This window comes from Homo sapiens, chromosome 17, assembly GCF_000001405.40.
Source record: "Homo sapiens chromosome 17, GRCh38.p14 Primary Assembly".
Lineage (NCBI taxonomy): Eukaryota > Metazoa > Chordata > Mammalia > Primates > Hominidae > Homo > Homo sapiens.
The window spans coordinates 31,515,946-31,542,686 of NC_000017.11; the positions used below are offsets into that span (position 1 = coordinate 31,515,946).

The window sequence follows — 26,741 nt, forward strand, 5'->3', positions numbered from 1 at the left end:
AAGCAACGCTCAGAAGTGAGGCCTGGCATTCTTGCTCCCAGCAAGGCTGTGGCAGGGCCCAGACAGGCAGTTGCCTCCTGGGCTGGGCATCACATCTTCTGGCCAGGGTTTATTCATTGAGGTCCTACTGTGTGTCAGATGCGAACGTGAAATACCTCATTTAATCAGCACAGTGATCCTGTAAGATTCCATTGCCATTCCTGATTTACAGAAGACAACTGAGGTTCAGAGGTGTTCCATGATGTGCACAGGGTCATGTAGGGTGGATCCCAAGTTGTGCAGCTTTCACTGCACCATGTGGCAGCAGACTCTACTAGATCAGGGTTGTTGGTCCTAAAAGCTGTTCAGTGTGACTGTGCCCTTACACCGTGCACCAAGAAGCCTTCTAGAAGCCGTTTGGCTTCCTCTGACAGACTTTTGTGGTGGTTTTACCAGTGGAGGGTGTCCAGGTTCTTAGCGTCTTGAACAAAAATTGGACAAAATGCACAAACAAAACAAAGAATGAAGCAACAAAAACAGAGATTTATTTTATTTTATTTTTTGAGACTCAGTCTTGCTCTGTCACCCAGGCCGAACTGCAGTGGCGCTATCTTGGCTCACCGCAAGCTCCGCCTCCTAGGTTCACGCCATTCTCCTGCCTCAGCCTCCCGAGTAGCTGGGACTACAGGCATGCGCCACCTCGCCCAGCTAATTTTTGTATTTTTAGTAGAGACGGGGTTTCACCGTATTAGCCAGGGTGATCTTGATCTCCTGACCTCGTGATCTGCCCGCCTTGGCCTCCCAAGTGCTGGGATTACAGGCGTGAGCCACCGTGCCTAGAGATTTATTGAAAACGAAAGTACACTCCACGGGATGGGAGCAGGCCCAAGCATAGGGGATCAAGAACCTGGTTGCAGAATTTTCTGGGGTTTAAATACCATCTAGAGGTTTCCCATTGGTTACTTGGTGTACACCCTATGTAAATGAAGTAGTGGCCCACAGTCAGTTTGATTGGTTGCAGGAGGGGACCAATCAGAGGCCAAAGTGAAGTTACAAAGTTACACCCTATGCAAACATCTGATTGGTTGCAGAAAGCAATCAGAAAGCAACCAATCAGAGACTAAAGTGAAGTTACAAAGTGATATTCCTATGCAAATTAAAACTTAGCCTGTGACCAGCCTGATTGGTTGCAGGAGGGGACCAATCAGAGATACTCTCAGTTTTTCATCTGCCAGGCAGAAAAGGTTGGGGGGCGAGGAGGCGGTGCGGGGGGGGGGGCGGTGGGGGGGGCGGGGGGGAAGGGGATGCAAAGGGAGTAGCTACTTGGGCTCGGAAAATTGGGGTTTTCCTTTTGATTTAGCTCTAGGAAGTCAGTGTGAATCAGCCTTATGTTCCCTGCCTCCAGACCCTATTCTGCCTCAGTGGGGGCTCTGATGTGCCAACCAGGGTGCCCTGAATAAAGTGGCTAGCCTGACTGTGGCCCTTCTTCGTGGATGGCTGTTCCTGGGAGTTCTAGCTCCTCACTAGATGCTCATGAGTCAGCCAGTATGAGAGGTCCCTGGGACTAATCACCTGCCAGGTGTTCCCACGCTTAGGGTTCGGGATCTGGGCCTCCTGTACCCAATCCCTGCTGTTTTGGCCTGGCTGATGCCCTTGTGGTCTGATTGGAACACTGAGCCCTGGGAAGCTGGCCTCACTTATCTTGTCTCTGCTCTCTCTTTCCCAGGGCAGCGAGGTCACAGGCCCCACCTTTGCTGATGGCGAGCTCATCCCCAGGGAACCCGGCTTTTTTCCCGAGGACGAGGAGGAGGCTATGACGCTGGCGCCACCTGAGGGCCCCCAGGAGTTGTACACAGACAGCCCCATGGAGAGCACTCAGAGCCTGGAGGGGTCTGTCGGGAGTCCTGCCGAGAAGGACGGGGGACTTGGGGGCCTGTTTCTGCCAGAAGACAAGTGAGTTAAAACCACCTGAAGCTCCATATTTGCCCTCTCAGCCCAGAAATGTGGTTCTTGGAAAGTGTCTCCAGGAAGTAAATTTGAAACATGCTCAAAATTTGTATCAGAGGCATTAGTGTCATGGGTATTCTGAATAGCACAAGATTCTAAGCAGACTAAATGCTTAACAGTAAGGGATAGTTTTGGAATTTTAGGCAGCTGTGCAAAGTCAAGTTTTTAAATTTAATTTTACTTTATTTTCAGTCCTAGCTGTGCAGGCAAAGGGAGTTTTAAATGACTAGTTAATAATATGAGATATATGATCTCAATTAGTTTTAAAAAGCAGGTTGTGGCCAGGCATGGTGGCTCACACCTATAACCCCAGGACTTTGGGAGGCTGAGGCAGGAGGATCGCTTGAGCCCAGGAGTTTAAGGTTACAGTGAGCTGTGATCACATCACTGCACTCCAGCCTGGCAACAGATCAAGACCCTGTCTCAAAAAAAAAAAAAAAAAAAAAGGGCAGGTTACAAAGATGTCCATGAGATCAGCTTTGTTAAAAACACAAACATATGCCAGGCAAGTGGCATGTGCCTGTAGTCCCAGATACTTGGGAGGCTGAGGCAGGAGGATCACTTAAGCCCAGGACTTCTGGGCTCTAGTGCACTATGCCGATCGGATGTCTGCACTAAGTTCAGCATCAGTATGGTGACCTCCCGGGAATGGGTCACCACCAGGTTGCCTAAGGAGGGATGAACTGGCCCAGGTCAGAAACAGAGCAGGTCAAAACTCGAGTGTTGATCAGTAGTAGGATCACACCTGTGAATAGCCACTGCACTCCAGCCTGGGCAACATAGCAAGACCCCATCTCTAAAAAAACCAAAAAACAACACACAGACATATGTGTTAGGAAATGCCTAGAAAAAAATTAATCTGGAAAATTAAGCAGTTATTTCTGTATGGTGGGATGATTTTTTTTGTTGTTGTTGTTGTTGAGACAGACTCTCACTCTGTCACCAGGCTGGAGTGCAGTGGCATGATCTCACCTCACTGCAGCCTCCGCCTCCCGGGTTCAAGCGATTCTCCTGCCTCAGCCTCCCGAGTAGCTGGGACTACAGGCGCGTGCCACCATGTCCAGCTAAGTTTTGTCTTTTTTTTTTTTTTTTTTTTTTTTTGAGACGGAGTCTCGCTCTGTCGCCCAGGCTGGAGTGCAGTGGTGCAATCTCAGCTCACTGCAACCTCCACCTCCCGGGTTCATGCCATTCTCCTGCCTCAGCCTCCCAAGTAGCTGGGACTATAGGTGCCCACCACCACGCCTGGCTAATTTTTTGTATTTTTAGTAGAGATGGGGTTTCACCATGTTGGCCAGGATGGTCTTGATCTCCTGACCTCGTGATCCACCTGCCTCGGCCTCCCAAAGTGCTGGGATTACAGGTGTGAGCCACCGCACCTGGCCAGTTGATCATTTTAATTACTTCCCATCTACTCTGCTATATTTTCTATATTGAGCATGTACTCCCATAATCAGAAATGTTATTTAAAAACAGTATTAAGACCTAAGTGACTTCCCAGTGAAGCAGTTTCACCTTTAACTTTGGTGTTGGCAGAAAGGAGTCCCTTCCATCTCAGCCCTCACCAAGTCTCTCGAGGGATACAGTGCTGTGGGGTGGTGGGAAGCTGCCACCATTGTGGCTGAGGAAGCCGAGGGGGTTGCAAGTGGCAGCCCCTTACCAGAAGGTGATGGTTACGACTGCTGCAGGGATTTGGAGAGGGAAGAGAGGGGTTCCCATGTTGGTTGAACCACATGAAATTGACAACTTTTAATCATTTCCATCTTCAAAAAAGTAATTTCATGTGGTTCAACCTAGTATATCTCAATGCAGGGTTTCTCAAACTCAAGTGATTCTCAGAGTCCTGATGTTCTTGGTGGGGCCCTTTGGGTCTGTGGATGGAGAAGAGGGGCCGTGCTGCTCGTGCTGCTCTCTGGGAGCAGCCTTGTAATCCCAGCAGTTTGGGAGGCTGAGGCGGGCAGATCACCTGAGGCCAGGAGTTTGAGACCAGCCTGGCCAACATGGCAAAAACCCCATCTCTACTAAAAATACAAAATTAGCTGTGCATGGTGGCAGGAGGCTACTCGCAGCTACTCAGGAGGCTGTGGCAGGTGAATCACTAGAACCTGGAAGGCAGAGGTTGCACCAATGCACTCCAGCCAGGCGACAAAGCAAGACTCTGTCTCCAAAAAAAAAAAAAAAAAAAAGACAAACTTAAAAAATAACACAGTATAACAACTATTTACATAGCATTTACATTGCATTAGGTATGATAAGTAATCTAGAGACGATCGAGTATACAGGAGGATATGCATAGGTTGTATGTGAATACTATGCCATTTCATATCTGGGACTTGAGCATCCTCAGATTTTGGTGTCCACAGGGGGTCCTGGAACAAATCTCTCTTGGATGCCAAGGGATGACCATACTCAGTCTTACAGTATCTAAAATTTTAGATCCATTTATATTCATTTTCTGTATTACTCCGAATGTTTTTTTTTCCTCTCCTTAAAGTGAAAGCAAGTTTATTAAGGAAATAATAAAACAATGGCTACTACAGAAGCAGAGCAGCTACTCCGAATGTTTTTTTGTTTGTTTTTTTGTTTTTGTTTTTTTTGAGACGGAGTCTCCCTCTGTCGCCCAGGCTGGAGTGCAGTGGCACAATCTCGGCTCACTGCAAGCTCCACCTCCCGGGTTCACGCCATTCTCCTCCCTCAGCCTCCTGAGTAGCTGCGACTACAGGTGCTCGCCACCACGCCCGGCTAATTTTTTGTATTTCTAGTAGAGTTGGGGTTTCACCATGTTAGCCAGGATGGTCTCGATCTCCTGACCTCTGATCCGCCCGCCTCGGCCTCCCAAAGTGCTGGGGTTACAGGCGTGAGCCACCGCGCCTGCCACTACTACAAATGTTTTAACAAACCTTTCAACAACTATTTGATATTCCACAATTTAATAATTTACTAACATTATAATTTAATAATTATAATTTGATCTAGCTGTAGCTAGACAATTAGGTTGTAAGCAGTGTTTTGCTACTGTGGAGTAGCATGGGTAGAATTGGTTTGAACTGTAGAAATGGTTTCTGTGGTGAGATGTTTCCCTTTAGATAGGGTCCCTGAAATGTACTTACCAGGTCAAGAGCTACAAACTTAATCGGTAGTGCCAATTAAAGGGAAATGCCTGTCAGTTTCCCCACCACGGGCTGTGGCTGGGGACCCATGAGTCCTCCTCTGACTTGGGTGCTCTCGGACCCTCAGGTCCCTGGTCCACACTCCATCCATGACGACCTCAGACCTTTCTACACACTCCACCACCTCGCTCATCAGCAATGAGGAGCAGTTTGAAGACTATGGGGAGGGTGACGATGTGGACTGTGCCCCCAGCAGCCCTTGCCCCGATGATGAGACCAGGACCAACGTCTACTCGGACCTGGGGTCTTCGGTGTCTTCCAGGTGGCCCCTTGGTCTGGGATGTCATTTGGGGTCAAAAGTTGCAGAAGCAATTTAAGCACATCCTAGGGGGTGGGGGGGTGCGAGTCCTGAGCTGGCCCTTTTCCTTTGTCCTCAGCTACTTGAGTTCTGCTCCTGGGGCTTGGGGTTGCTACCTTCGCACCCTGATTAGGGGTCAGGAGTTCCTCCTGAATTAACTGACCTAGGAGGCTGCACACTGGGGGCCACGGGGCTCTGTGTCATCTTGTATCCTAGAACCTCAGTGTTGAAGCATCCTTCCAAGTGACCCCTGTGATCCCTTCTCACCCACCTGAGTCACCACTTTCTCTGAAATGAGCTCGCAGTTTGCCTTAGCTGTTAAATGGGTATGCCTCACTGGCTTCTCTTTGAGCGTGTTGGAGAAGGGATGATCTGTTGCTATATTTCCACTCCCTGCCCCTCCCCCGTAACAAGGTTCAAAGGTACTGGGGACTCAAGTAAAGTCAGCTCAGCAGGGTGGTGTAGGGCACCAGACTGGACAGCAGTTAAGGTGGTGATTCCTTTCCCTCATGAATCAGTGCGGGGCAGACGCCTAGGAAAATGCGGCACGTGTACAACAGCGAATTGCTAGATGTTTACTGCTCTCAATGCTGCAAGAAAATCAACCTGCTCAATGACTTGGAAGCCCGACTGAAAAACCTGAAGGCCAACAGGTGAGGCCCAGGCCCAGCTGGGGGGTGAGAGGCCGGGGGGCCAGGGCAGGGCCTGGAGGGAGAAGCTACGGGCATGGCGAGGCGACCCCTGCTGTCTGGGCAGGTGAGAGCTCTCAGAGGAGGGTTGATCCAGGGGCTTTTTCTGCCACAGGAAATCAGGCTGTTTCTTCTCAGGACCAAGCTGACTAGTGAATTCCTTTCAGTGGGAGGGAAGAGCCTTGTCCTGCACTGTGGTGTCTTACAGCTAGGACAGAGTAAGGGAGTGGACTAGAACCCCTCTGTTCAATGACTGTTTCCTTTCTCTCTCTAGCCCCAACCGAAAGATCTCCAGCACGGCCTTTGGACGGTAAGGCCCGCCTCGAGGGAGGGCAAATTGAGTGCTGTCCCCATGCTGCCCACTGGCCGGGGCTCCCTGCCAGCAGCCCGGACTCAGCTGGTGCCCGCATGTGGCTGAGTGAGCAGAGGGGAACGAGGCCATCCCAGGGCAGTGCAGCCAGGGCAGCGTCACTTCTGAAAAAGAGGGGCCAGCTCCTCCCTGCTCTCTCCCCACCCCTTGTCCCTTCTTCAAATCCTAGGTCACCTTGACTTCAGGCAGGCATGCCAGGGATGCCCTGAGAGAGACAGAGCACCCCACAGCGTTCAGTGCCCTTCCTGCCTCTTGGAGCTGGCAGCCATACTCAATAAAGAGACCCCGGGTTTCCTGCAGGCGGGGATCTGGGCATGAGTGTGCGCCATTGGGGCTGGTCACTTTGCTCCGATTAAGTCCTGCGGCAGTTCAGTGTGGCCCCAGGTCCACACTCAGGGCTCTGGGAGCTGGCAGCAAGGGCCCAGGAGCTAGGTGGGTTGGCCTCTTGGCAGAGACCCTGGCTGCTGCCTATCAGGGAGCTGGAAGGGGATGTCACTGGGGGTGGCAGCTGGATTTTGCCTCAGGCACGGGTTAGCTCAGCAGGCCCAGTCCCACCCCAGCTCACTGCTCTGCAAGGCCTGGAGAATTCTCTGCCTTTGCCATCCCCCAGAGTTCCCAGAGACGTAGCAGGAGCCAGCTTGGTGGAGAGGCTCAAGCCTCAGGAGGCCCAGACCCTCTTCCAGGGCCATGGAGCTGGGCTACCTCCTTGGGGGCTTCCCCACTGGAAGAGGAGGGGGCTCACGTGCCAGCTGAGGTCACTGGGTAGCTGCAGGCCAGCATGCTGGCGTGAAGAGGGTTCTGAGGCCGCAGGAGAAGCTGTGCGTCATTGGCTGTGTCTGCCAGGGGACCCCGGGGGTCTGTACAGCCCATTTGCCATCCTCTGGGCGGGGTGATCCGCTGAGTTTGGCAACATTCTTCCTCTCAGGCTGAGTGAGGGCAGCCTCCTTAAAGGGGCAGACCCCCTGGGGTACTGGATGCTCGCCTAGCCAGTAGTGTGAGTAGGCCCCTGTCTCTGGAAGGCCCCTGCAGCCAGACACCCTCCTCCCACCCCTGCAGGCAGCTCATGCACAGCAGCAACTTCAGCAGCAGCAATGGCAGCACCGAAGACCTGTTCCGGGACAGCATTGACTCTTGCGACAATGACATCACAGAGAAGGTGGGCCTTGGGTGGCTGGAGAAGGGACTGAATGCATGCCTGCTCCCAGGGGAGATGGGGTGCACTCAGGCTACTGTCTGGGGACTTGGGAGACCCTGTACCTGCCTAGGAATTGGGGGCAGGTGGCCCTGGTCACGTGTTCCCCACTCCCCCACCCCACACATGACCGTTCTCAGATACACAGTGGTTTGGAGGTCCTGCTCATGAACCTCATGGCGTCGAGGTTCTCGGTTCTGTGGCCTCAGAGGTCTTCTCCACCCCACCCCGGCCCCCTGCTGCAGGTAAGCTTCCTGGAAAAGAAGGTGACAGAGCTGGAGAATGACAGCCTGACCAATGGGGACCTGAAGAGCAAGCTGAAGCAAGAGAACACACAGCTGGTGCACAGGTCAAGCAGGCAGCGGCGCTGGGGGCTCGGCCGTGACGCTGGGGAACAAAGGGGGGTCCATCTTGCTAAGACCTCCAGGAGGAGGCAGCCTCATGCCTTTGCAGCTCTGAGGGTCTGTGACGCATCAGCCTCTTGTCACATGGCCCTGCCCACATGTGGTGCCCAGGACAGGACCTTAGGGACAGGGAGACAGGTTGGAGCTTGACCTTGGCTCTAGGCCCAATGGATTCTACCCCCTGAGGTCTGAAGCCACAGGGCTGGTCCAAGATGGGAGTGGGGATCCACTGTGTCTCACTCATACAGTGACAGGAGCCTGACGTCCCTTCCTAGGGACAAGCTCTGCAGGGGACAGGCCAGTGTGAGCTGGGCGGTGGGAAGGGTCCAGCACTGCTGCTGATGGAGGTCCCCTGAGCCTGCCGTTCCTGATGCTGTCTGCAGTGGTGGATTCAGGGTTTAGTTGTCCTCACCAGATGGCATGACCCTTGGGGGACATACCCTGGCCAGGGGTCCGGTCCTCCAACTTGTCACAGGGCCCAAAGATGGGCCCTTTTGTACACCCCAGAAGGTCAGCCTGGTGGAGGGGCTGTTGCCAGTGAGACGTATCCCAGACCGAAATACCAACCAGGCTGTCACTGGGGTGCTCACATCTACGTGCCCCTGGCCCTGTCCCAGGTCTGGGGCAGACTTCAGGCCACCAGCCAGGATGTGCCTATTTTGGGAGTCAAGGTGCCCAATAAGCTGAATTATTAATCAGAGGGGTGGCCGGGAAGGAACAGCACAAAAAGAAGAGGTGAGGCCTGAGGTGGTTCCGGCCAGGTGTGGCTGCAGGGACTGGTGGGGGCGGTCCCTCCCTGTGCTGCCCTGAGCGCCCCACCTTCTGACTGCCAGGCCTGCCCCTCCATGGCATGTGTGACCGACACCCCCTCTATATGTGCGGTGTCCCCGTTCATCTCTCTGAAAGCTACTGGCCCACACGCCCTCAGTGGACATGCCAGTGACTCAGGGTCTCGGGGCCCAGGGTCCCCCGTGCCACAGCCTGGGTTGGGGTGAAATGGTGCAGGCCCCAAGAGCTTGCCCATTGCGCTGTCCTCAGGGTGCATGAGCTGGAGGAGATGGTGAAGGATCAGGAGACCACGGCCGAGCAGGCTCTGGAGGAGGAGGCGCGGCGCCACCGCGAGGCCTACGGCAAGCTGGAGAGGGAGAAGGCTACCGAGGTGGAGCTGCTCAATGCCAGGTGGGCCCCTCCACCGAGCCCCCTCCCTCAGAGGGACCCCCTGTCCTGGGGCAGCCCTGTGGGATAGGCGCTATCCCCATTTTATAGATGGGAATGTGAGGCTGAGGGGCAGCCTCTTGAGACTTTCCAGTAGTAACAGTTCCACTTTAATACCACGAGAAACACAGAGGCATGCTCTTCAGGAAGTTCGCTAAGGAATGTTCCCAGGAGCGTGGCTCACATTTGGTAATGCAAACCACACAAATGTCTGTCAGAGAAAAGGGCCTGGGCTGGGTCTCACATCCAGGCCTGGAGCGCCCCCTGCTGTCAGGTTCTCCCCTGACCCCTGGTGGACTGAGCCAGAGCCCCAGGGCCAAGGTAAATGGAAAACCCGGCTCCTGTGCCTTGCGTGTACCTGTGGCTTCGTCATTGGAACGTGACGCAGGCGGGACAAGGAGCAGCCCCGGGCCAGGGATCTGAGTTGGTCTCCCATTAGCTCCATGGCCTTGGACGTACTGGGTCACCTCCCTGTGTGCCCCACAGAGCGGCTGTGTGGGTGGGTGAGCCGATGTAAGTCCAGACCCTGCCCACGGGTGAGGGCTATGATGATGCCTCTGTGATGAAGCCCCTTTGCGGCCCTTGACCGAGGCCGAGGAGGCCGCCTGGGCTTCTGGCAGAGAGGACAGCTGCCCTGGCACTCCTCAGGCCCCCTGAGGCCCCAGTCTCCATGCTGAGGCTTCCCAGAGTTGCCGAGCCCCACCTGGCGGCTGGTGGGCTGCTGAGCAAATGACTGGGAGTTGGGCTCTCAGGCAGGTACCTCCCTGCCCCCGTGTCCCTGCCCCTGTGCAGTTTGGTGAGGAGACTTCCCAACTCCCCGGTGTCTGAGACCTGCTTTGCTAAGTTACCCACCAGGGGTTCATTTTACATTTTGACTCTATTCTAGAAGCTGCTGTTTTGCATCTGTTTCTGGAGGCTGGTGCCTAGTTAAGGGTGACTGCTCTCGCTCAGCCCGCCTCGGCAGCTGGCCCAAGAGAGGTGGCTGGGACACGGGAGGTGGTAAAAGACAGTGTGAACCTGGGCCACAGGACAAAGTGCAGAAAGCCAGCCCTCGGGAACTGTCTCCTAACGTGTGCCCGTCACACAGCTCCGGGGGCGCCATTCGTGTAAAATATCCGAGTGGTGTTCCCAGAGTCCTGCCGTATGCTTGGTTCCCTACCACTTCCACCCGCTTGGGGCCACCTGCTGGTGGTGGGGCTGAATTCCTCTCTGGAGCCCAGAGGGCAGTGGAGGCCCAGAAGCCATCCTTCCAGGAAAGAGGACATGATGGGGAGGTGGTGGGTTGAGAACGGGATGCTCTGCAGGAGTCACTGCCAGAAGTGACCCTGTTCAGTTCTGCTGCCACCGACGGCCCAACTCACCTGCACCTATTCTCAGACCATTTAAAACTGACCTGAGGCCGGGCACAGTGGCTCACGCCTATAATCCCAGCACTTTCGGAGGCCGAGGCAGGTGGATCACGAGGTCAGGAGATGGAGACCATCCTGGCCAACATGGTGAAACCCCATCTCTACTAAAAATACAAAAATTAGCCAGGCGTGGTGGTGCGCGCCTGTAGTCCCAGCTGCTCGGGAGGCTGAGGCAGGAGAATCGCTTGAACCCGGGAGGCAGAGGTTGCAGTGAGCTGAGGTCACGCCACTGAGACTCCGTCTCAAAACAGACAAACAAACAAAAAACTGACCTGAACACCCAGGCTCTGTCTTCTTGTGGAATCCCTTTAGGATTCCCTTTGTGGAATTCCTGTGTGAACGCTAACACAGAGGATTATTACTGTCAGAGCCCATGCCTGTGGTCATCAGAGGGAGGTGCAGTGAGCGCTCAGAGAAGAGCCCTGGATGAGATGCTGTTGGCGGAGAATGAAAAGCCAATATGATCATTGCCTTCAAGTTACAGAGTCTAACAGGAGGGCCCAGTCACAGAAGCCACAAGAAGACTGTTTCTCCATCTAGCAGAAAGACATCCCCGTGTTGTCTGAGGATCTGAAGGATGCATACAAGAAGAATCTGCGTTCCTACTCTCTAATGAATGTTTCCACTTATTGGAAAAATAAAGGCCACGTGTGGTGGCTCACTCTTGTAATCCCAACACTTTGGGAGGCCAAGGTGGGCGGATCACATGAGGCCAGGAGTTTTTGAGACCAGCCTGGCCAACATGGCAAAACCCGTCTCTACTAAAAATACACAAATTAGCTAGGCGTGGTGGTGCATGCCTCTAATCCCAGCTATTCAGGAGGCTGAGGCACGAGAATTGCTGAAGGAGTTAGAGGTTGCAGAGCTGAGATTGTGCCACCTCACTCCAGCCTGGGCAACAGAGCAGGACTCTGTCTCAAAAAAAAAAGAAAGAAAATAAGAATGATAATTTACTATTTTGCTTACAAATAGTCCTTACTATTTTGCTTTGGCTGATAGGAAGCTCACGGCTAAATTGTCTTTGACATAATAATCATATTCTTTCTCTCAGTTGGTTTCTGGTATCTTTCCTCTGGGAGGAAGCAGAGAATCACTGCAGACTGGCAGGCGCTTATCAGATAGTCTACATTCCAGGTTTCTGAGATTTGTCTTTCTCCTTTCGCCAGGGTGCAGCAGTTGGAGGAAGAAAATACAGAGCTTAGAACAACAGTGACTCGGCTCAAGTCTCAAACAGAGAAACTGGATGAGGTGAGCAGCAGATCCAGGCTTGGAGGGGCAGGGCTGGCCATCGGGAGCCTTTAGTTTATTGCTTCTGAAATTCTAAACAAATGCCGCACCCCCTAAGAAATGCAAAAAAAGTGAATAACAACTTGTGTTTCTGTATTTCTGATTTTCCAAGTTTTCTACAGCGAATGTATTTATTACTTTATACAATGGAGAAAAATTAGTTTTAGAAAGAGGTTAGCTTCTATTTGGGCTAACACCTTCAATTCAGGTTGCATCTAGCATCGTTGAAGGACTTCAGAGGCCTGAGGTTTTTAGTTGTATTTCTAGAATCATCGGGGCTCTGGCCGTTTCTGTAAGCCAAGACTCAGGGCTCCGTCTAAGGGAGCTGGTTTCACTGTGCATCTGCCTCGTGAAGATGGCTGACCAGACCCCAGGGACACCCCTGGACATAGTGAGCCCCTCTCTGGGAACTCTCCTCCCCTGATCGGGTCTCCCTGCTCCAGGAGCGGCAGCGCATGTCTGACCGTCTGGAGGACACCAGCCTGCGGCTCAAAGATGAGATGGACCTGTACAAGCGCATGATGGACAAGCTGCGACAGAACCGCCTTGAGTTCCAGAAGGAGCGGGAGGCGACGCAGGAGGTAGGTCCCAGGCCAGCAGGCACCAGGGCTCCTTCCAGCATCCCTGCTCCTGCCAACCTGCTTCTCTCCCTCGCAGCTCATCGAGGACTTGCGGAAGGAGCTGGAGCACCTGCAGATGTACAAGCTGGACTGCGAGCGGCCAGGCAGGGGCCGCAGTGCCTCCTCTGGCCTAGGCGAGTTCAATGCCAGGGCCCGCGAGGTGGAGCTCGAGCACGAGGTCAAGCGGCTCAAGCAGGTGGGTCTAGCAGTCTCTGTGTCCAGTGGGGCAGGGTGGCCGGGCCCACCACGTGGGTTTCCTGTGCAGGATCTGTGGTAGGGGAGCCCAGAGCTGTAGCAGCACTGCCTGTCTGCTTCTCAGCAACCTGTTTGCCAGGGCTGACTGCCCCATTTCACAGCTCAGGAAAATCGATCCAAAGATCTCTCCCTTACGTCTATGTAAGGAAATAGACCCTGCCTTGGTGCTCAGGGTGGAGGATGAGACCATACCCAGCTGCAGTATAGTGCCTGGAGGCATTGGGTTCTCCCAGAAGTAGACCCTCACCCAAGGTTCCTTTTTTTTTTTTTTTTTCCCAAGAGACAGGGTCTTGCTCTGATACCCAGGCTGGAGTGCTTTGGCACTCCATAGCTCACTGCAGCCTTGAATTCCTGGGCTCAGGTGATCCTTCTGCCTCAGTCTCCCTAGTAACTAGGACTACAGGCACACACCACCATGCCCAGCTAATGTTGTTTTTGTTTTTTGAGGCAGGGTCTCACTGTGTTGCCCAGGGTGGAGGGCAGTGGTGTGATCACAGTCACTATGGCCTCAAATTCCTGGGCTCAAGCAATTCTCCTACCTCAGCCTCTCGAGCAGTTAGGACTACAGGAGAGCACCACCACACCTGGCTAATTTACTTATTTATGTATTTATTTCCAGAGATGGGGTCTCCCTATATTGCCCAGGCTTGAACTCCTGGGCTCAAGGGATCCTCCCACCCTTAGTCTTTGAAAGTGTTGGGATTACAGGAATGAGCCACTGTGCCTAGCCAGAAGATTACATTTCAAGGAGCGCTGCCTTAGCTAGAGACCTTTGGGTGGGGGAGTGGATCAGGAGGAGGCAGTGGCCAGGTGGTGCTGGGTGAAGTGTCAGCTCTGCCTGACCCTGCAGGTGGAAGAGCCTGCAGCATAAATTATCCTTCTGAGTTTGTTCCACTGGGGACAAAGGTGCTGGTGGCTGTGCTCTCACAGAAATCCTAAAACCCCAACCCTTCTCCTAGTCTAGGGGTGGGGTGCCCAGGGTCCCAGGTGTGAGCATTAGGGCTCTTTAGGCAAAAGCTGGAGTGTGAGACCGGTGCATGGGATCTGGGCGGGTCCGCCTGGGTCAACTCCAACCAAGCAGGATTCGGAACGTGGCTGCTGGGGGAGCCAAGGAAATGAGCTGGCCAGCCTGCCCAGAGAGCCCAGAGCATCACTTCCTTCACTGGGCTGCTGGGTGGGTGATGTCCCTATGCAGGGCCTAGGGAGGAAGGGATGGCCAGGAGCCTTGGCTGCGCTGAGCAGGGCTGTAACTCCTCCACAAACCCTGTGCACTCCCAGGATGCCAGTCCCCTGGACCAGGACCCAGCCCTCCTTGCCCCCAGCGCTTGGCAAAGGCTGCAACATCTATGGCCCCTTGAACCAGCCGTGACACACACCTGTGGGAATGGCGCTGGCGGCAGGTCGGGGACGGTGGATGTGGAGAAGTGGGTTCCAGTGGGCTGTGGATGCCTCTTGGGGTTGATGTCGCCTTCGTCCTTCTCTCTGTAGGAGAATTATAAGCTGCGGGATCAGAACGACGACTTGAATGGGCAGATTTTGAGCCTCAGCCTCTACGAAGCAAAAAACCTCTTTGCTGCCCAGACTAAAGCCCAGTCTCTGGCTGCGGAGATAGACACCGCCTCGCGCGATGAGGTAACCACACCACCGGCTCTTGCTTTGGGGCCTGGCCGCCCTCTGTGATTCCTTCTCCCGGCCCCCACCTGCCCAGAGTGAGAAAACCAGACCAGGGCCTGGCAGAGAGTCCCATCTACAGCTACCCCACATGACAGGGCAAGGCTGTGAGCAGGGGAGGGGGCTGCTGGAGAAGTTAAGTCAGCTCTGAGTTCCGCCTGTGCTGGAAGGAGTGCGGGTTTGGTTCAGAGTGGAGTGTGAGTCTTAGGTCGGCCAGAAAAATGCCAACATAGCCAGCTGAGTGGATCAAGCTGTGACTCTGGGTTAGGCTATCACTCCCGCTCTTCCCAGTCCAGAGAGGGAGGACATTAGCATTTCCCCAGCACCTGCTTCTGCGGTGTGTTTTCACTTAATCTCCTGATGACTCTGAGGCTTTAGGAACAGCTCCACATTCCAAGCTGGGAAGGTGGAACCCAGGACCACCCAGCTAGGGAGGGAGAGGGACCCAGCTCTCTCCAAAGCCAAAGCCTACCCTTCCTGCCACACCAGAGTATGCTTATGAAAGATCAGGCCTCCAAAATGCCCCGGCTGCATTGTAACATGAATTACAAGACACTCTGTCACTGAGCCTCACCCTCTGCCTGGGACACGGGGTGAAGAGCTGACCTCTGTCCTCAAGGAGCTCCCAGGTGAGCTGGGCCCCAACCCCTGGGCAGAGGCAGCATGTCAGCAATGTCCGAAAGAACACTGCCCTGGAGAAGAGCAGTGTGGGGCTGGGGGTGGGGAGAGGTGTTCCAGGCAGGAGACAGCTCCCCTTTGGAGTCTTAGCGGCCCTGGGACTTTGTCAGTCTTGATTTTAAATGACTTTGGCTAGTGTTTTCTACTTTTGCAAAAAATTACCCACACCTGGGCCCCCTCTACAAACTGATCACATTGGAATCTCTGGGGGTGGGGCCTGGGCACCTGCATAGGTAATACTAGGGGCTGAGCCACTTCGACTCTGGTCCTGGCATCCAAATGCTGAGGCTGTCCTGGGGCCCACCTTGCCCAGGATCTCCTGATGCCCTCTATTGTCAGGCACTGGCCTGCGACAAGCCTGGGAGTCTGGACTCTGCCTGCACCCTATCCCAGGCCCAGCCACTGACCCGTCTTTCCCATTTCCTTCAGCTAATGGAAGCCCTGAAGGAGCAGGAGGAGATCAACTTCCGGCTGAGGCAGTACATGGACAAGATTATCCTCGCCATCCTGGACCACAATCCCTCCATCCTCGAGATCAAACACTAAGGCACGGGGCTGGCTGCAGAGCAGCCTTAGGACCCTGGGACCAAGGGCAGACCCTGCCCAAGGATGCAGGCCTAAGCCGGGCCTCACACTCACACTGTAAATGTCTCTCTGGCCACCATGCGTTACGTGTACCCGTGTATATGTGGGGAGGCTGTGCACACGAGCGAGGGGTGAGTGGCCGTGGCTGTGGGCAGCATCCACACGGTTAGCCGTGCATGCACTTTGTGGCCCCTTTGCAAGGGGCAGAGGGTACTGGAAGTGGGAGGAGGCAAGGTCTGCTATCAGGAGTTACTGTAAAAACAAGAACTGGAAGCTCGTGTTTCCGGTACTGGGTAAAATGATTCTACCTCTGGGGATAAGGATTCACATTCGCTCTAGTACGATGGGCTCTTTCACCCCACTCCTAGTCCCCTTGGGAGTGGGAGCAAAATTGTGATCTTTCCTAGGAGTTTGAATGCCCCATATTTGTGTCCTCGCCAGCTCTTTGGCCACCTTTCAAGCCCCAGTGTTCAAGCTCAGAGAGGATGAAGGGGCATCTGGAGGGTCCATGAGATGGGGCCCTCACCAAATGCCTTGGCCACCGGCCAGCAGCCCTCTGTGATGTGTGTGCAGAGTGAACAGAGGACTCAGGTTTCATAGCAGCTAGTGCGGGGCATCCTCATCCTGTACCTATAGAGTTCGTGCACTCCCCCATCCATGCTACCTACCTCCCCGTTTCTGTTTCAGTTTTAAGACAATGAAGCAGCATTCACTGCGTCATTGTAACATGAAGGGATAAAAATGAAGGAGAAGGAGGGTTTGGGATGGGTGTCTAAGGCAGGAGTTGACATCGGGCAACCAAAGAAATGAGTTTTGGGGAGGAACACAACTCCCATCCCAGTCAGTTTCCTTCCCATGGCTGCATCTTAAGATGGATGCACGGAGAAACCGTCTGCCTGGCTCCCTGTCTTCATTCTCCACGCAGCCTGGTGATGGCAGGCCTGGGTTTGGATTTCAGAATCCTAGCTCCGGGCTCCACTCGTGTGGCAGCAAGACTGCTTCGTTCCAGCGTTTAGAAACACACCTGTATTTGATTCTCAGCCAGGGGAGCACTCGCTGCACTGGTGGGAGGCGGTTGGGAAAGTTGCAGGAAAACCTTAGTCTTCCATCCTTCTGACCCATGGTGGAAATTCACACCATGGATTTTTAATGGATCTTTGTTCTAGGCAGCTGGGAATAGACATGGTACTTACCTTAGAGTTTTCCAATTTATCTCAATTTTATATGGCTTGTGATTCATTTTCTTAATCCAAATATATATAAACGTGTGTGGTCTTATTCTTCCCCCTGCAGTTTCTTGCTTTCTTCAGCACATCTTATAGTATGAGAAGGAAGGTTTGGGCATGTTGGGAAGGGCGGTGGAGGGGGAGTTGCAGAAAGAGAGGGCAGTGAGGGTGAGGAGAGGGGATCTGGGGACTTGGGTGTGACACCTGCTTGACAGAGGCAGGGCTGTGGCCAGGACCAACCTTCAATTCCATTCCAATCAGCCTTTGCATTTGTTGGATCTCGTGGCTTCTTTTTAATCTTTTGTTGGGGATTAGTTTCATGCTGCACATAATGGGGTTGCACTGGTCTGACCCAGGACTTTGGAGCCACCCACACTGGGAAGACTAGGCTAGGCAGTCGGTCTTCTAGGAGTTTCTCAGCCCCTTAGGACGCGGGTCTCCTTGGGCTCCCCCAAGGGTTCTGCGAAGAGGCAGTGGAAGAAGGCATGAGGAGAGGGTCTCTTGAGAATTTGCCAATAGGAAGGAGTGGCCACGGCTGAAAGGAACAAGACAGATCCTGACATAGCTTTGGCCTGGGTGTTAGGTCAGAAGGAGTACTGGTGCGTGGGGGCCTTACCCCAGGGTTGAGTATTTTATCTGTAAAATGTTATCTGCCCTTTGGCTGCATTGGAATTTCAGAGAAGGCTGCAGAGGCCTGGGTTACACAGCCTGAGTCACAACGTGGGAAGGAATCTCTGCCACGGGAAAGGTGGGCGGAAGCAGCTGGCAGCCTGGGGCGTGCTTCAGGCTCCTCCCTCTAAGGGGCGCCATGGGAACAGGCTCCGGAGGGAGCCGGCGTCTGAAAGGCCCCCGGGACCTGCTGCAGTGCCAGAGGGGCCTCTGGAGCAGGCCTGGCTTTTAAATGGGGGGCTGAATTCCAGCTCACACACACCTCAAGTCCAACCTTACTTTCTTCAGCCAGAATACATTTCTTGTAAAACCTGGCTTGTTGCTTGGCTTTTAAAGATGGTGTATGTTTGTAAAAATATTCTTCTGGGCTCAAAAGCTAGCTTGAGGGGGCAGATGCCCCAGGTGTCCCAGCTCCACAGCCCCTGGCAGATCCCAGACCCCTTGGTGGCAGGTCCCAGAGCCTAGGTGGTAGGAGCTTGATCTTTGTTTCTGCCCTTACCCCTCAGTAGTGGGGCTGCGAGGTAGTAGACAGGATGCCCAGTTAAGTTTGAATTTCAGATAGAAAATAATTTTAGAATAAATATGTTCTATCTAATACATGGGACAGATGTTATTTTTAGAGATAGGATCTTGCTCTGTTGCCCAGGCTGGAGTGTAGTGGTATGATCATAGCTCACCACAACCTTGAACTCCCAGGCTCAAGCGATCCTCCCGCCTTAACTGCCTGAGTAGCTGGGACTACAGGCATGCACCACCACGCCCAGCTAATTTTTCTTATTTTTTGTAGAGACAGGGTCTCACTGTGTTGCCTCACTCGAGCTGCTGACCTCAAGTGATCCTCCCACCTCAGCCTGCCAAAGCACTGGGATTACAGGCATGAGCCACCATGCCTGGCCAGGACATATTTGAAATGGGGAGATTTTAAAAATTCTGATGATTAGACTGAATCCTCAGACGTTCTGGTTTGATTGTTGTGGGTGTAGCCCAGGCATGGGATTTTTTAAAGAGCTGCTCAGGTAATTCCAATTTAATTGCGTGTCCTACTTGGGTTTTTTGTTTGTTTTTATTGTTTTTGCTAAACCTGGCAACCCTACCGAGTAGGGATTAGCAGTAACTTATCTGAAATTTAGAGGTGTTTTGGGGGTGGGGCGAGGGTTTCTGTAGTAGACTCAGATTTTACATGGCCCTGAGCTGCCCTTGCGTTCAGTTGGAAGCCACGCAAAATGAACTGAACCAGGAGTGAGCTTCGTGTACATTATCTATTAGAAAATGAAGTACCTTCTGGTTCAGCTAGTCCCTGTGCGTTGAGAGGCTTTAAGAAACTTCTAGTAAAAATGTTTTTTTCTTTTAGCTTTGAATTGGCCAGAGTTTATCCTAGATTATTTTATTTTAAATTGGTAGAATTCTTTGCGAACTGTCACAGAGAAATTCCTTTTCATGACTTTATTTCTGACCTATTAAAACATGAACAGGCCAGGCATGGTGGCTCACGCCTGTAATCCTAGCACTTGGGAGGCAGTGGCAGGCGGATCACTTGAGCTCAGGAGTCCTAAACCAGCCTGGGCAACATAGTGATACCTTGTCTCTACCAAAAGTTAAAAAAAAAAAAAAAAAAGCTCAAGAACCTGCACGAGGGCCTAAAACAGTGGGCTCAGCTTTGGCTGTGCATTGGAATCACCTGGGGAGATTTGTAAGCTTCTGCTGTCTGGGCTGAACCCCCAGAGGTTCGGATTGAATTGGTGTGGGGTGTGGTCCAGGCATCGAGATGTGTAAAGACCTCCCCAGGTGATGATATGCAGTCCGAGGTTGAGACTGCCCTGTCCTGCAAGGTCGTTGGCCAGAGGTAGAGGAAACTGGTCAAAGTGGCTGTTGGGCTTGTCAAGCCCGTGGCTGAATGACAGTGAGCTCTCTTGCTGGGAGGGTTCCTTTTCCTGTTGTTGAATGGTCCTGGCCTGCAGGATGGGAGGCCAGATGCCTTCAGGAGCTGGTGGATCCAGCTGTTCTCACCAGCCTGGAGGTTAGCAGACCAGAGTGGGTGGGCAGGACCTTGGCCTGGTGCCCCTGGAATCAGTGGGTGGCATGTGTTGGGATATACTGGCTACAGGCTCATCTCAAAGAGCAGGTAGAACAGAGTCAGCAGGGAACTGACAGGTGGGGCTGTCCCCCTGAAAGCAGCCGCAGAAACAGCTGCCACCTATTTGCATAGCTGAGCAGGAGGACATACTGTCTTTGTGGGTTTTGCTTCTGGTCTGTTTCCTGACTGGGTTGATAAAGGGAGTCCCAGCTCGTTCCCTGTTAGCCAAACCAGCATCCTACTCACACACCGGACACTCCAGGTGCTAGTCCACTGGTGCTGGTGTTCAGGGGAGTTGGGGGGGGGGGGCGCGGGGACAGAAGCGCGGGTTCTTGGTTCCAATGAGGGACTTAGCAGAAGCCTCCAGGGGCCAGCAGGGCCAGGTGAAACTGGGAGAAATGAAGCCCTCTGTGTCCTGTGTGTGTGGTGGGGTTTAATGCATTAGCAAATTTAAACTTAAAAACTAACTCTAGGCCGGGCACGGTGGCTCACACCTGTAATCCCAGCACTTTGGGAGGCCAAGGCAGGTGGATTGCCTGAGCTCAGGAGTTCGAGACCAGCCTGGACAACATGGTGAAACTCTTGTCTTTATTTTTTTAAAAAAACAAAAAGTAACTTTCGATGTGATCATACCAGGAAAGTTTTGCGTGGTCACCATGCCAAGAAAATGACTTTGGTTGCCCAGCAGATCCACAGCGACTCTTTCTCAAGGGCTACTGTGGATTCTAGATTGAGGAAAGGGGCCACTTAGGACTCAGTGCTGGTATCCTCCACAGTCCTTTCTCCCAGACTCTGGCCCTCCCTTTGGGACCCAGGAAATCCCCTCTAGGGTGACGCTGCTGGCTAGGAAGACTGAGGTCTGCTGCGCCAAGGGGCCTCAAGTTAGAAGGGCCATGCCGTCAGTGGATGACTTTGAGCGCTGATCCTAGGGACCTGCCAGGTCCTCACTTCCTGCCCTGGGTGCACACATGAATGGGGCAGCCAGCAGGAAGCGGGAGAGGCTGGAACCAGGAGCCTGCCCTACCTGCATGGCAGGACAACTCTGAGGCCCTTCTGCCATATTCTCTGCTACCCACCAGAGAAAATAGGCTGCCTTCTAGAAAGATTTGTTTCTAAAAGCGTAGACCCTGGGGAAGTATAATGTCACCATGCTCACCAGGCGAGGTTTCCCATATGACCTCCCTGCCCCGACCTCGTAGGTTGCTCCTTTCCCCATCTGTAAGGTAGAGATGTCTGCCCCGGAGCTACCAGCTGGGGATGGCATCCAGGCCATGTCTCCTGCAGGATCCAAGTGCTGTTGTCCCCAGGGTGACCCTGCCTCCTGCTGGGGCCCATCCGCTTTGCTGTGCTGCACAGGCTGTTTTCATCTGCATGGTTTGGGGTCTTTGTCCTTGTGCCTTTTCTTCCCCATCGCCACTGTACAGGATTTTCCACATTGCCCACTGCCTCCTTTTCTACATCGTCTCATCTCCCTGGCCTTTCCCGAGCCCTGTAAATGTGTACTTTTTCAACGTGCCTCCCCCAGGTGAGGCCAGCTCTCCCGGGCACATTCGTCCACAAGGATCAGGCCCCACTTACCCTTGGCTCGCTCAGCCTGTAGACTTGGTAACTTTGTACAGAATCTTTCATTATTGTCTTAAGCATGGGGGGCTAGGACCCACTTAGTCCCTCCTCCAGCCTGCAGCTAATTTAGGAGCCTTGCATTCCAGAAAAGGGCAACTTTGTGTAAAGCAGCTTCTCCCACAGAGCTTTCCCTGCATTGTTAGTGATGTCGGGCAAAGCATCACTCTTTAACCTGGGGCATTGGCCCCAGCAGGGATATCATGGGACCGCAGCCGCTCCGTGCACTGTCTCTGCCCCCAGAGGAAGCCCTGTCCATGGTTCCTGGTGCACGGCCACAGGCCTGCCTTGAGGCCACCACATCTGGTGTCTAGAACAGCTGCGGGCCCCACTTGGGCAGAAGGAAGAGGTGCTAGCTGCTGCCCCTGCCTGCTGTGAACACCTGCCCAGCCCTTCCTTGTCTGCTGAGGTGCTCAGACCAGAGTGCCATTAAATACCAACTGATGTCACGGAGCGGACGGTGCATTGCCAAGGACTCACAGCTGTGGGCTCCCTTCCAGCTCCTCCCACTTTCTTGGCTGGGTCTTCTGAGGCCTACGTGGAATGAACTACACATGTGGCCTCATGCCCAAGGGTTTGTTAGATGGCCTCTGACTCTGTGGGATTCAACTTGACTTTTTTGCCCCAGGAGGCTCTGTCTGGAAACAGGCTTAGCTTTAGTGCTGGGGTGGGACCTGCCCTGTGGGCCCCAGGGAGGGGACAGTGGGGGTGAGGCCCTGAGGCTGTCCAGGGTCTGAGCTCTTTGCCTCCAACCTGCTTCTGCCCCAAAAGGAACAGGCTGTTGGTGGCAGGCTCCTCCCGGGGAGCTGTACTGTACAGACCAAGGTGTAAATAAACAGTTTGCTCTTCTCGCCTGACTGAACCATGAGTTTCTGTGGTTGGGGGAGGGTGGGCAGAAGAGGCCTGGTTCCAGGGCTCACAGGGACAGATGGTCTCCCTTAAAAAGAGCAACCCCCCTGCCCCCCACCAAGTTTGTGGTTCCCAGGGTGGCTGGTGCTGTCCCCCAGGGGCAGGGTGGAGTGGGGCGGTGTCACTCTTCAGTCCCTAGGGGAGAAGACGTGGATCCCAGAAGCCTCTTTAATGCCACCATTCCAGCCACAGGGCTATGATGTTTGGAAACTTTGTCCTTTGTGTGGCTATGTTCTTTCCCACTGAGGTCTTCCTAGGGGTCCAGTGGGGTCCCAGTGCCATGCTCCCTCCATGTCCGCCGCTGTGGCTCCCCAGGGTGACGGCCCAATGCCTCCATTCAGGACTGGCTTCAGACCTGCCAGTGCTTGTCTCTGCCACACCATCAAGTACCAAGGTGGTCCCCAGTTGAGTCAACCAGACCCCTGGATTTCTGCCTTCTGTCTGCTCCTTCCTCTATTACAGGATTCCAGGCATGGAAGTGGCTTCACAGGTGGCCCCGGCCCTCCACCTCCCAGTGCAGGCCCTGGTGCCATGAGTCCTCCAGGGAGGGCAGACAGTTCCTCACTCACTGGACTTAGCCTCCTGGCTCAGGAGACGTCACCTCCAAATCCTGGGAGTGCTGTGTCCTCTTGGATCTTTATTGCCTCTTTCCTCTTTTTTTTTTTTTTTTTTAAAGATGGAGTCTTGCTCTACTGCCCAGGCTGGAGTGCAGTCGCACAATCTCGGTTCACTGCAACCTCCCCCTCCTGGGTTCAAGCAATTCTCCTGTCTCAGCCTCCCAAGTAGCTGGGATTACAGGCACCCAACACCACACCTGGCTATTTTTTGTATTTTTAGTAGAGACGGGGTTTCACCATGTTGGCCAGGCTGGTCTTGAACTCTTGAGCTCAAGTGATCCACCCACCTTGGACTCCCAAAGTGCTGGGATTATAGGCGTGAGCCACCGCACCTGGCCAGTTCCCTCCTTCCTCCTAATATTCCTTCTTTCCTTCCCAACTTAGGCTGCCAGATTTGGCTAGTAAGAATACAGGATGCCCAGTAAAACTTGAGTTTCAGATAAGTAGTCCAACGAGCCTCATCTTTACTTGATTACAAATAGGGTCTTTACATTGCGAAGACCCTGTTTCCAAAGTAAGCTTGCATAGGTATCAGGGCTTAGGACTTCAACATATCTTTTGGGAGGACACAATTCAACTCATAACACCTATTGAAGGAGGTCCTTGGAATTGCCTCAGTTTACCATCCTGGAGAGAGGTGGGAGCGAGCACTGCTGTGTGTACAGGCTGTACCCTCTCCTCTGCACAGGTGTGTTCCCCATTCACCCATTTTGCAGAACATTTCCTTACAGTCCTATTAAAAATGATGTCATCCCTGTGCCCCCTTGAGGCCACAGCACCTGCTAAAGGTGTTTCATTGTTGGATTCCATTGACTCACCAGGCCCTCAGTTAGAGGGCCCTTTAGGGTCATCGGCTGGGCCCAGGCCAAAGCAGATGAATGGGTGGATAATATCTGAGCACAGAAATCACTCAACCCGCCAGCATCATCTACCGAGCACCACTGTGTGTGCCAGGCACTGGGAATTGGTACAGGCAAGGCCTCTGCCCCGTGAAGTCCCCACGCTCCTGGGGGAGGGGAGAGACATAATTCATTTCCAGGGTGATGAGCACTACCAAGAGGAAGATATGGGGGGCTTCAGGAGCTGGGGGCAAGTGGATTGAGCCCACTCAGGCATCAGGTATGGCTTCTCTCAAGGAAGGAGCCTTTCAACAGAGCTCTGTAGGATCTAAGGGAACTCAGACTGTAGGATCTAAGGGAACTGCCATGGGGAGGAGACTTGGAGAAACAGCCCTTTCAGGGTACTAGAGAGGGGGATAGTGGAGGGCTGCAGCCTAGCCAGGTGGTGTAGAGTCTAGGGGGCCAAGGGTGGATCTATCACATTCACTCACTAAGCAGATGCTTTACCAGCACCTAACAGATGCGGGGTGCAGGGGAGGTGCTGGGCTCGTGGCACAGGGAGCCTCTAGAATGTACAAGAGAGGTTCTTAAAACCATCCCACCCCAGCAATTCTGATTCCATTGGTGGGGAGTGGGGCTTGGACACTGGGATGTTTTTTAAAGCTCCCAGGTGATTCCAAGGTGTAGCCAATGGTGAGAATCATGGGGTATAAAAAGGGCACTTAGACTCACCTGAGGAGGCTTCAACTGAGACTTGGAGGAGGAGAGGCTGGCCAGGTAAGGGAGATGGGAGGGCAGGGCGGAAGCAGGAGAGGGAACAGCAGGTGTGGAGGCCTTGCCATGGGGAGGAACTACGAACCAGCTAGCTCAATGGTAAGCGGGACTGTGGGGACTACGCCAAAGCATTTTAAGCTGGGGGTGGCCTGGTCAGGTCAGTTTCAGAGTTGGGTGGTGAGAGGTGAGGGCAGCCTGGACTGGGGTGTGTCTTAGCTGGGACTGACCTGACAGAACACAACAGGCTGGGAGGCTTACACAGACACTTATTTTCTCGCAGTTCTTGGGGCTGGAGGTCCAATCTTGAGGTGCCAGTGGGGCTGAGTTCTGGTGAGGCCTCTCTCCTTGGCCTGCAGACAGCTGCCTTCTCACTGTGTGCTCACAAAGAGCTCATTCTCTACTGTCTCTTTGTTGTCTTAGAAGGACACCAGACCTGTTGGATTAGGGCTTCACCCATATGACCTCATTTAACCTTATTTACCTCCTCAAAAGCCTCATCTCCAAATACAGTCACACTGGGGTTAGGGTGGTGGGTGGTTGCTCGGGTGAGGGAGTCGGACTTCTCACAGCCTTGCTGGGAGGGTCTACGTCAGCTAGGCCATTTCTCCAGAAAATGATCAAGCTACTCCCCAGGGCGGAAAGCCCCTCATTCTTAGAACCAGGCTTCAGGCCCAGGTCCCTTGGGAGCAGCAGGCGGCAGCACCACTAACCACTGGGTCCAGAGACCCATCAGGTCAGCAGCCGGGGTGCTCTGAGAGGGTGGGACCAGTTCCTCTCTTTTGGTTAGTCCAGCTGGTTGTCCACTCTCTCGAGCCCTGGGGAAGAGGATTTGGCCTAATTCCTCCCTCTACCACCCTCCCCTCCCAAATCCCTGAGGCTAACCCAGTGCTTGGCCCACAGAAGGCACCAATGAGGTGGTTATTAGATTGCTTGCACTTGTTTAGGGCTTACTCTAGACCAGGCAGTGTTCCAAGTGCTTTGCATGTCCTGGGTTATCTGTCCCTCACAACTCCCTATGAGGTGGGTAGTATTACAGATGAGGAAACTGAGCCACCACAGGTGAACTCACTGGCCACATGTCACCTGGGATTCAAGCCCAGGCAGCAGGGATTCACCTGGGATTCAAGCTCGGATGGGGCGGGGTCACTGCAGGCTGGGAAGGCAGACAGAACAGTCAGGACACATGCTGAGCCCTGGAGCCTGGGTCCCCTCTCCAGGAACGAGGGGTTGTGACATGAGCACAACTGGAGCAGAGCCAGGAGGTAGGGCCTGCAGCTCTGCTCACAGCCATGCGGGGCAGAAGAGAGGACCAAGAAGGGTGGCAGCTCCACTGTGGCTCAGCCTGGCTGGCTGGACTGTGCCTTAAAGTGGGCTGAGGGGGTCAACCCTGCACCAAGTCCACTGGGAGCGGTTGGGGGCTCCAGGGCCCAGGACCTCTGTAGCCAGCTTGAAGCCAGACCTCCCTGGAACTAACGAGGTGACTGGGATTAGGGCTGCAGGAAGTTCCCCTCACTCTCCTGCCACCCCTGGTTCAGGTCTGGCTCTCACTTCAAACTCCAAGCTCTGACTTTGGTATCAGGCTTTGTCTTAGGCTCCATACTGGTGTGGCCTTTGGGTTTAAAAAGGAGCTAGAGTTTCTGAAAGGCCCAAACCCAGGGTGCAGAGGTGCTGAATTATGAGCCTACTTCCTACAGCCTGCTTGACAGCACCAAGCCCACGGGAGCTTGTGGACTCTCGGCCCTTGCTTTCTAGCCCAGCTGGCCCCTCCAGGGAGAAATACCTTTTCCAGCTCTGCCACCACTTGGCCATGGTTTCAGGGTTGGCTTTCCCAGCTTACCCAGGTCAGCAGGCAGCCCCTGACCAAAAGGTGGACTTTGCCAAGCTCTGGCAGAGCCTGGGCCAGACCCTCAGACCTTGGTTCTGCAGTTGGGGGGCTATGAGCGTGGGCTCTGAAGGCCATCAGGGCTGGAAGGAACGTGGGAGAGTATCTGCTCCAAATACTCCCACTAGTGAGCCCTCAAGATGAGACCATTTTTTGAGGTGGGGCAGAGACAAAGGAGACCCACTTTGTATCTCTTTACATCTTTGTAAAGATTGAACCCAGCCCCAGGACTGAGTTCAATTTGTGTCTACTCTCAAAGTCACAGAGCCAGTGAATGACAGGTGTGATACAGTCTCCAAAGACAA

At 53.6% G+C, this 26,741-nt stretch overlaps 1 protein-coding gene, 1 non-coding gene and 1 pseudogene across 6 annotated transcripts in view, besides 8 other annotated features; all 3 read left to right on the forward strand.

The window, feature by feature from the left end:
* RAB11FIP4 (RAB11 family interacting protein 4) overlaps positions 1-22,266 on the forward strand; it is a 146,537-nt gene extending 124,271 nt beyond the window's left edge. For 3 of the 5 annotated variants that reach the window (NM_032932.6, NM_001346748.2, NM_001303542.3), the window contains 12 exons: positions 1,706-1,932; positions 5,221-5,415; positions 5,970-6,104; positions 6,415-6,450; positions 7,567-7,666; positions 7,948-8,051; positions 9,145-9,285; positions 11,897-11,978; positions 12,461-12,598; positions 12,675-12,833; positions 14,381-14,524; positions 15,671-22,266. In NM_032932.6, the coding sequence (NP_116321.2) occupies positions 1,706-1,932; positions 5,221-5,415; positions 5,970-6,104; positions 6,415-6,450; positions 7,567-7,666; positions 7,948-8,051; positions 9,145-9,285; positions 11,897-11,978; positions 12,461-12,598; positions 12,675-12,833; positions 14,381-14,524; positions 15,671-15,787 (1,578 nt within the window). In that variant the 3' untranslated portion in view covers positions 15,788-22,266. The remainder of the gene's footprint in view (positions 1-1,705; positions 1,933-5,220; positions 5,416-5,969; positions 6,105-6,414; positions 6,451-7,566; positions 7,667-7,947; positions 8,052-9,144; positions 9,286-11,896; positions 11,979-12,460; positions 12,599-12,674; positions 12,834-14,380; positions 14,525-15,670) is intronic. The other 2 variants (NM_001346747.2, NM_001346749.2) reach the window with 2 other exon arrangements.
* Positions 2,496-2,784, forward strand: RN7SL45P (RNA, 7SL, cytoplasmic 45, pseudogene; annotated as a pseudogene).
* Positions 7,158-7,792: an enhancer, noted in NCBI's record as "H3K4me1 hESC enhancer chr17:29850121-29850755 (GRCh37/hg19 assembly coordinates)". NCBI's record gives its function as "activates a minimal SCP1, AML or CMV promoter by ChIP-STARR-seq in naive H9 embryonic stem cells {active_cell/tissue: H9 hESC(naive)}" and the evidence as "EXISTENCE:reporter gene assay evidence [ECO:0000049][PMID:30033119]".
* Positions 8,451-9,065: an enhancer, noted in NCBI's record as "H3K27ac-H3K4me1 hESC enhancer chr17:29851414-29852028 (GRCh37/hg19 assembly coordinates)". NCBI's record gives its function as "activates a minimal SCP1, AML or CMV promoter by ChIP-STARR-seq in naive H9 embryonic stem cells {active_cell/tissue: H9 hESC(naive)}" and the evidence as "EXISTENCE:reporter gene assay evidence [ECO:0000049][PMID:30033119]".
* Positions 9,446-9,740: an enhancer, noted in NCBI's record as "tiled region #11348; HepG2 Activating DNase matched - State 12:CtcfO, and K562 Activating DNase unmatched - State 12:CtcfO". NCBI's record gives its function as "activates a minimal TATA promoter and a strong SV40 promoter by Sharpr-MPRA in HepG2 and K562 cells {active_cell/tissue: HepG2 | K562}" and the evidence as "EXISTENCE:reporter gene assay evidence [ECO:0000049][PMID:27701403]".
* Positions 9,446-10,295: a biological region, named in NCBI's record as "Sharpr-MPRA regulatory region 11348".
* Positions 9,681-10,295: an enhancer, noted in NCBI's record as "H3K4me1 hESC enhancer chr17:29852644-29853258 (GRCh37/hg19 assembly coordinates)". NCBI's record gives its function as "activates a minimal SCP1, AML or CMV promoter by ChIP-STARR-seq in primed H9 embryonic stem cells {active_cell/tissue: H9 hESC(primed)}" and the evidence as "EXISTENCE:reporter gene assay evidence [ECO:0000049][PMID:30033119]".
* Positions 18,938-19,026, forward strand: MIR4724 (microRNA 4724). Its single transcript, NR_039877.1, has one exon. It is a non-coding gene; the product is annotated as a microRNA 4724 (primary transcript).
* Positions 19,566-19,865: an enhancer, noted in NCBI's record as "active region_12014". NCBI's record gives its function as "activates an Ori minimal core promoter by ATAC-STARR-seq in GM12878 lymphoblastoid cells {active_cell/tissue: GM12878}" and the evidence as "EXISTENCE:reporter gene assay evidence [ECO:0000049][PMID:35858748]".
* Positions 22,445-22,514: an enhancer, noted in NCBI's record as "active region_12015". NCBI's record gives its function as "activates an Ori minimal core promoter by ATAC-STARR-seq in GM12878 lymphoblastoid cells {active_cell/tissue: GM12878}" and the evidence as "EXISTENCE:reporter gene assay evidence [ECO:0000049][PMID:35858748]".
* Positions 25,706-25,755: an enhancer, noted in NCBI's record as "active region_12016". NCBI's record gives its function as "activates an Ori minimal core promoter by ATAC-STARR-seq in GM12878 lymphoblastoid cells {active_cell/tissue: GM12878}" and the evidence as "EXISTENCE:reporter gene assay evidence [ECO:0000049][PMID:35858748]".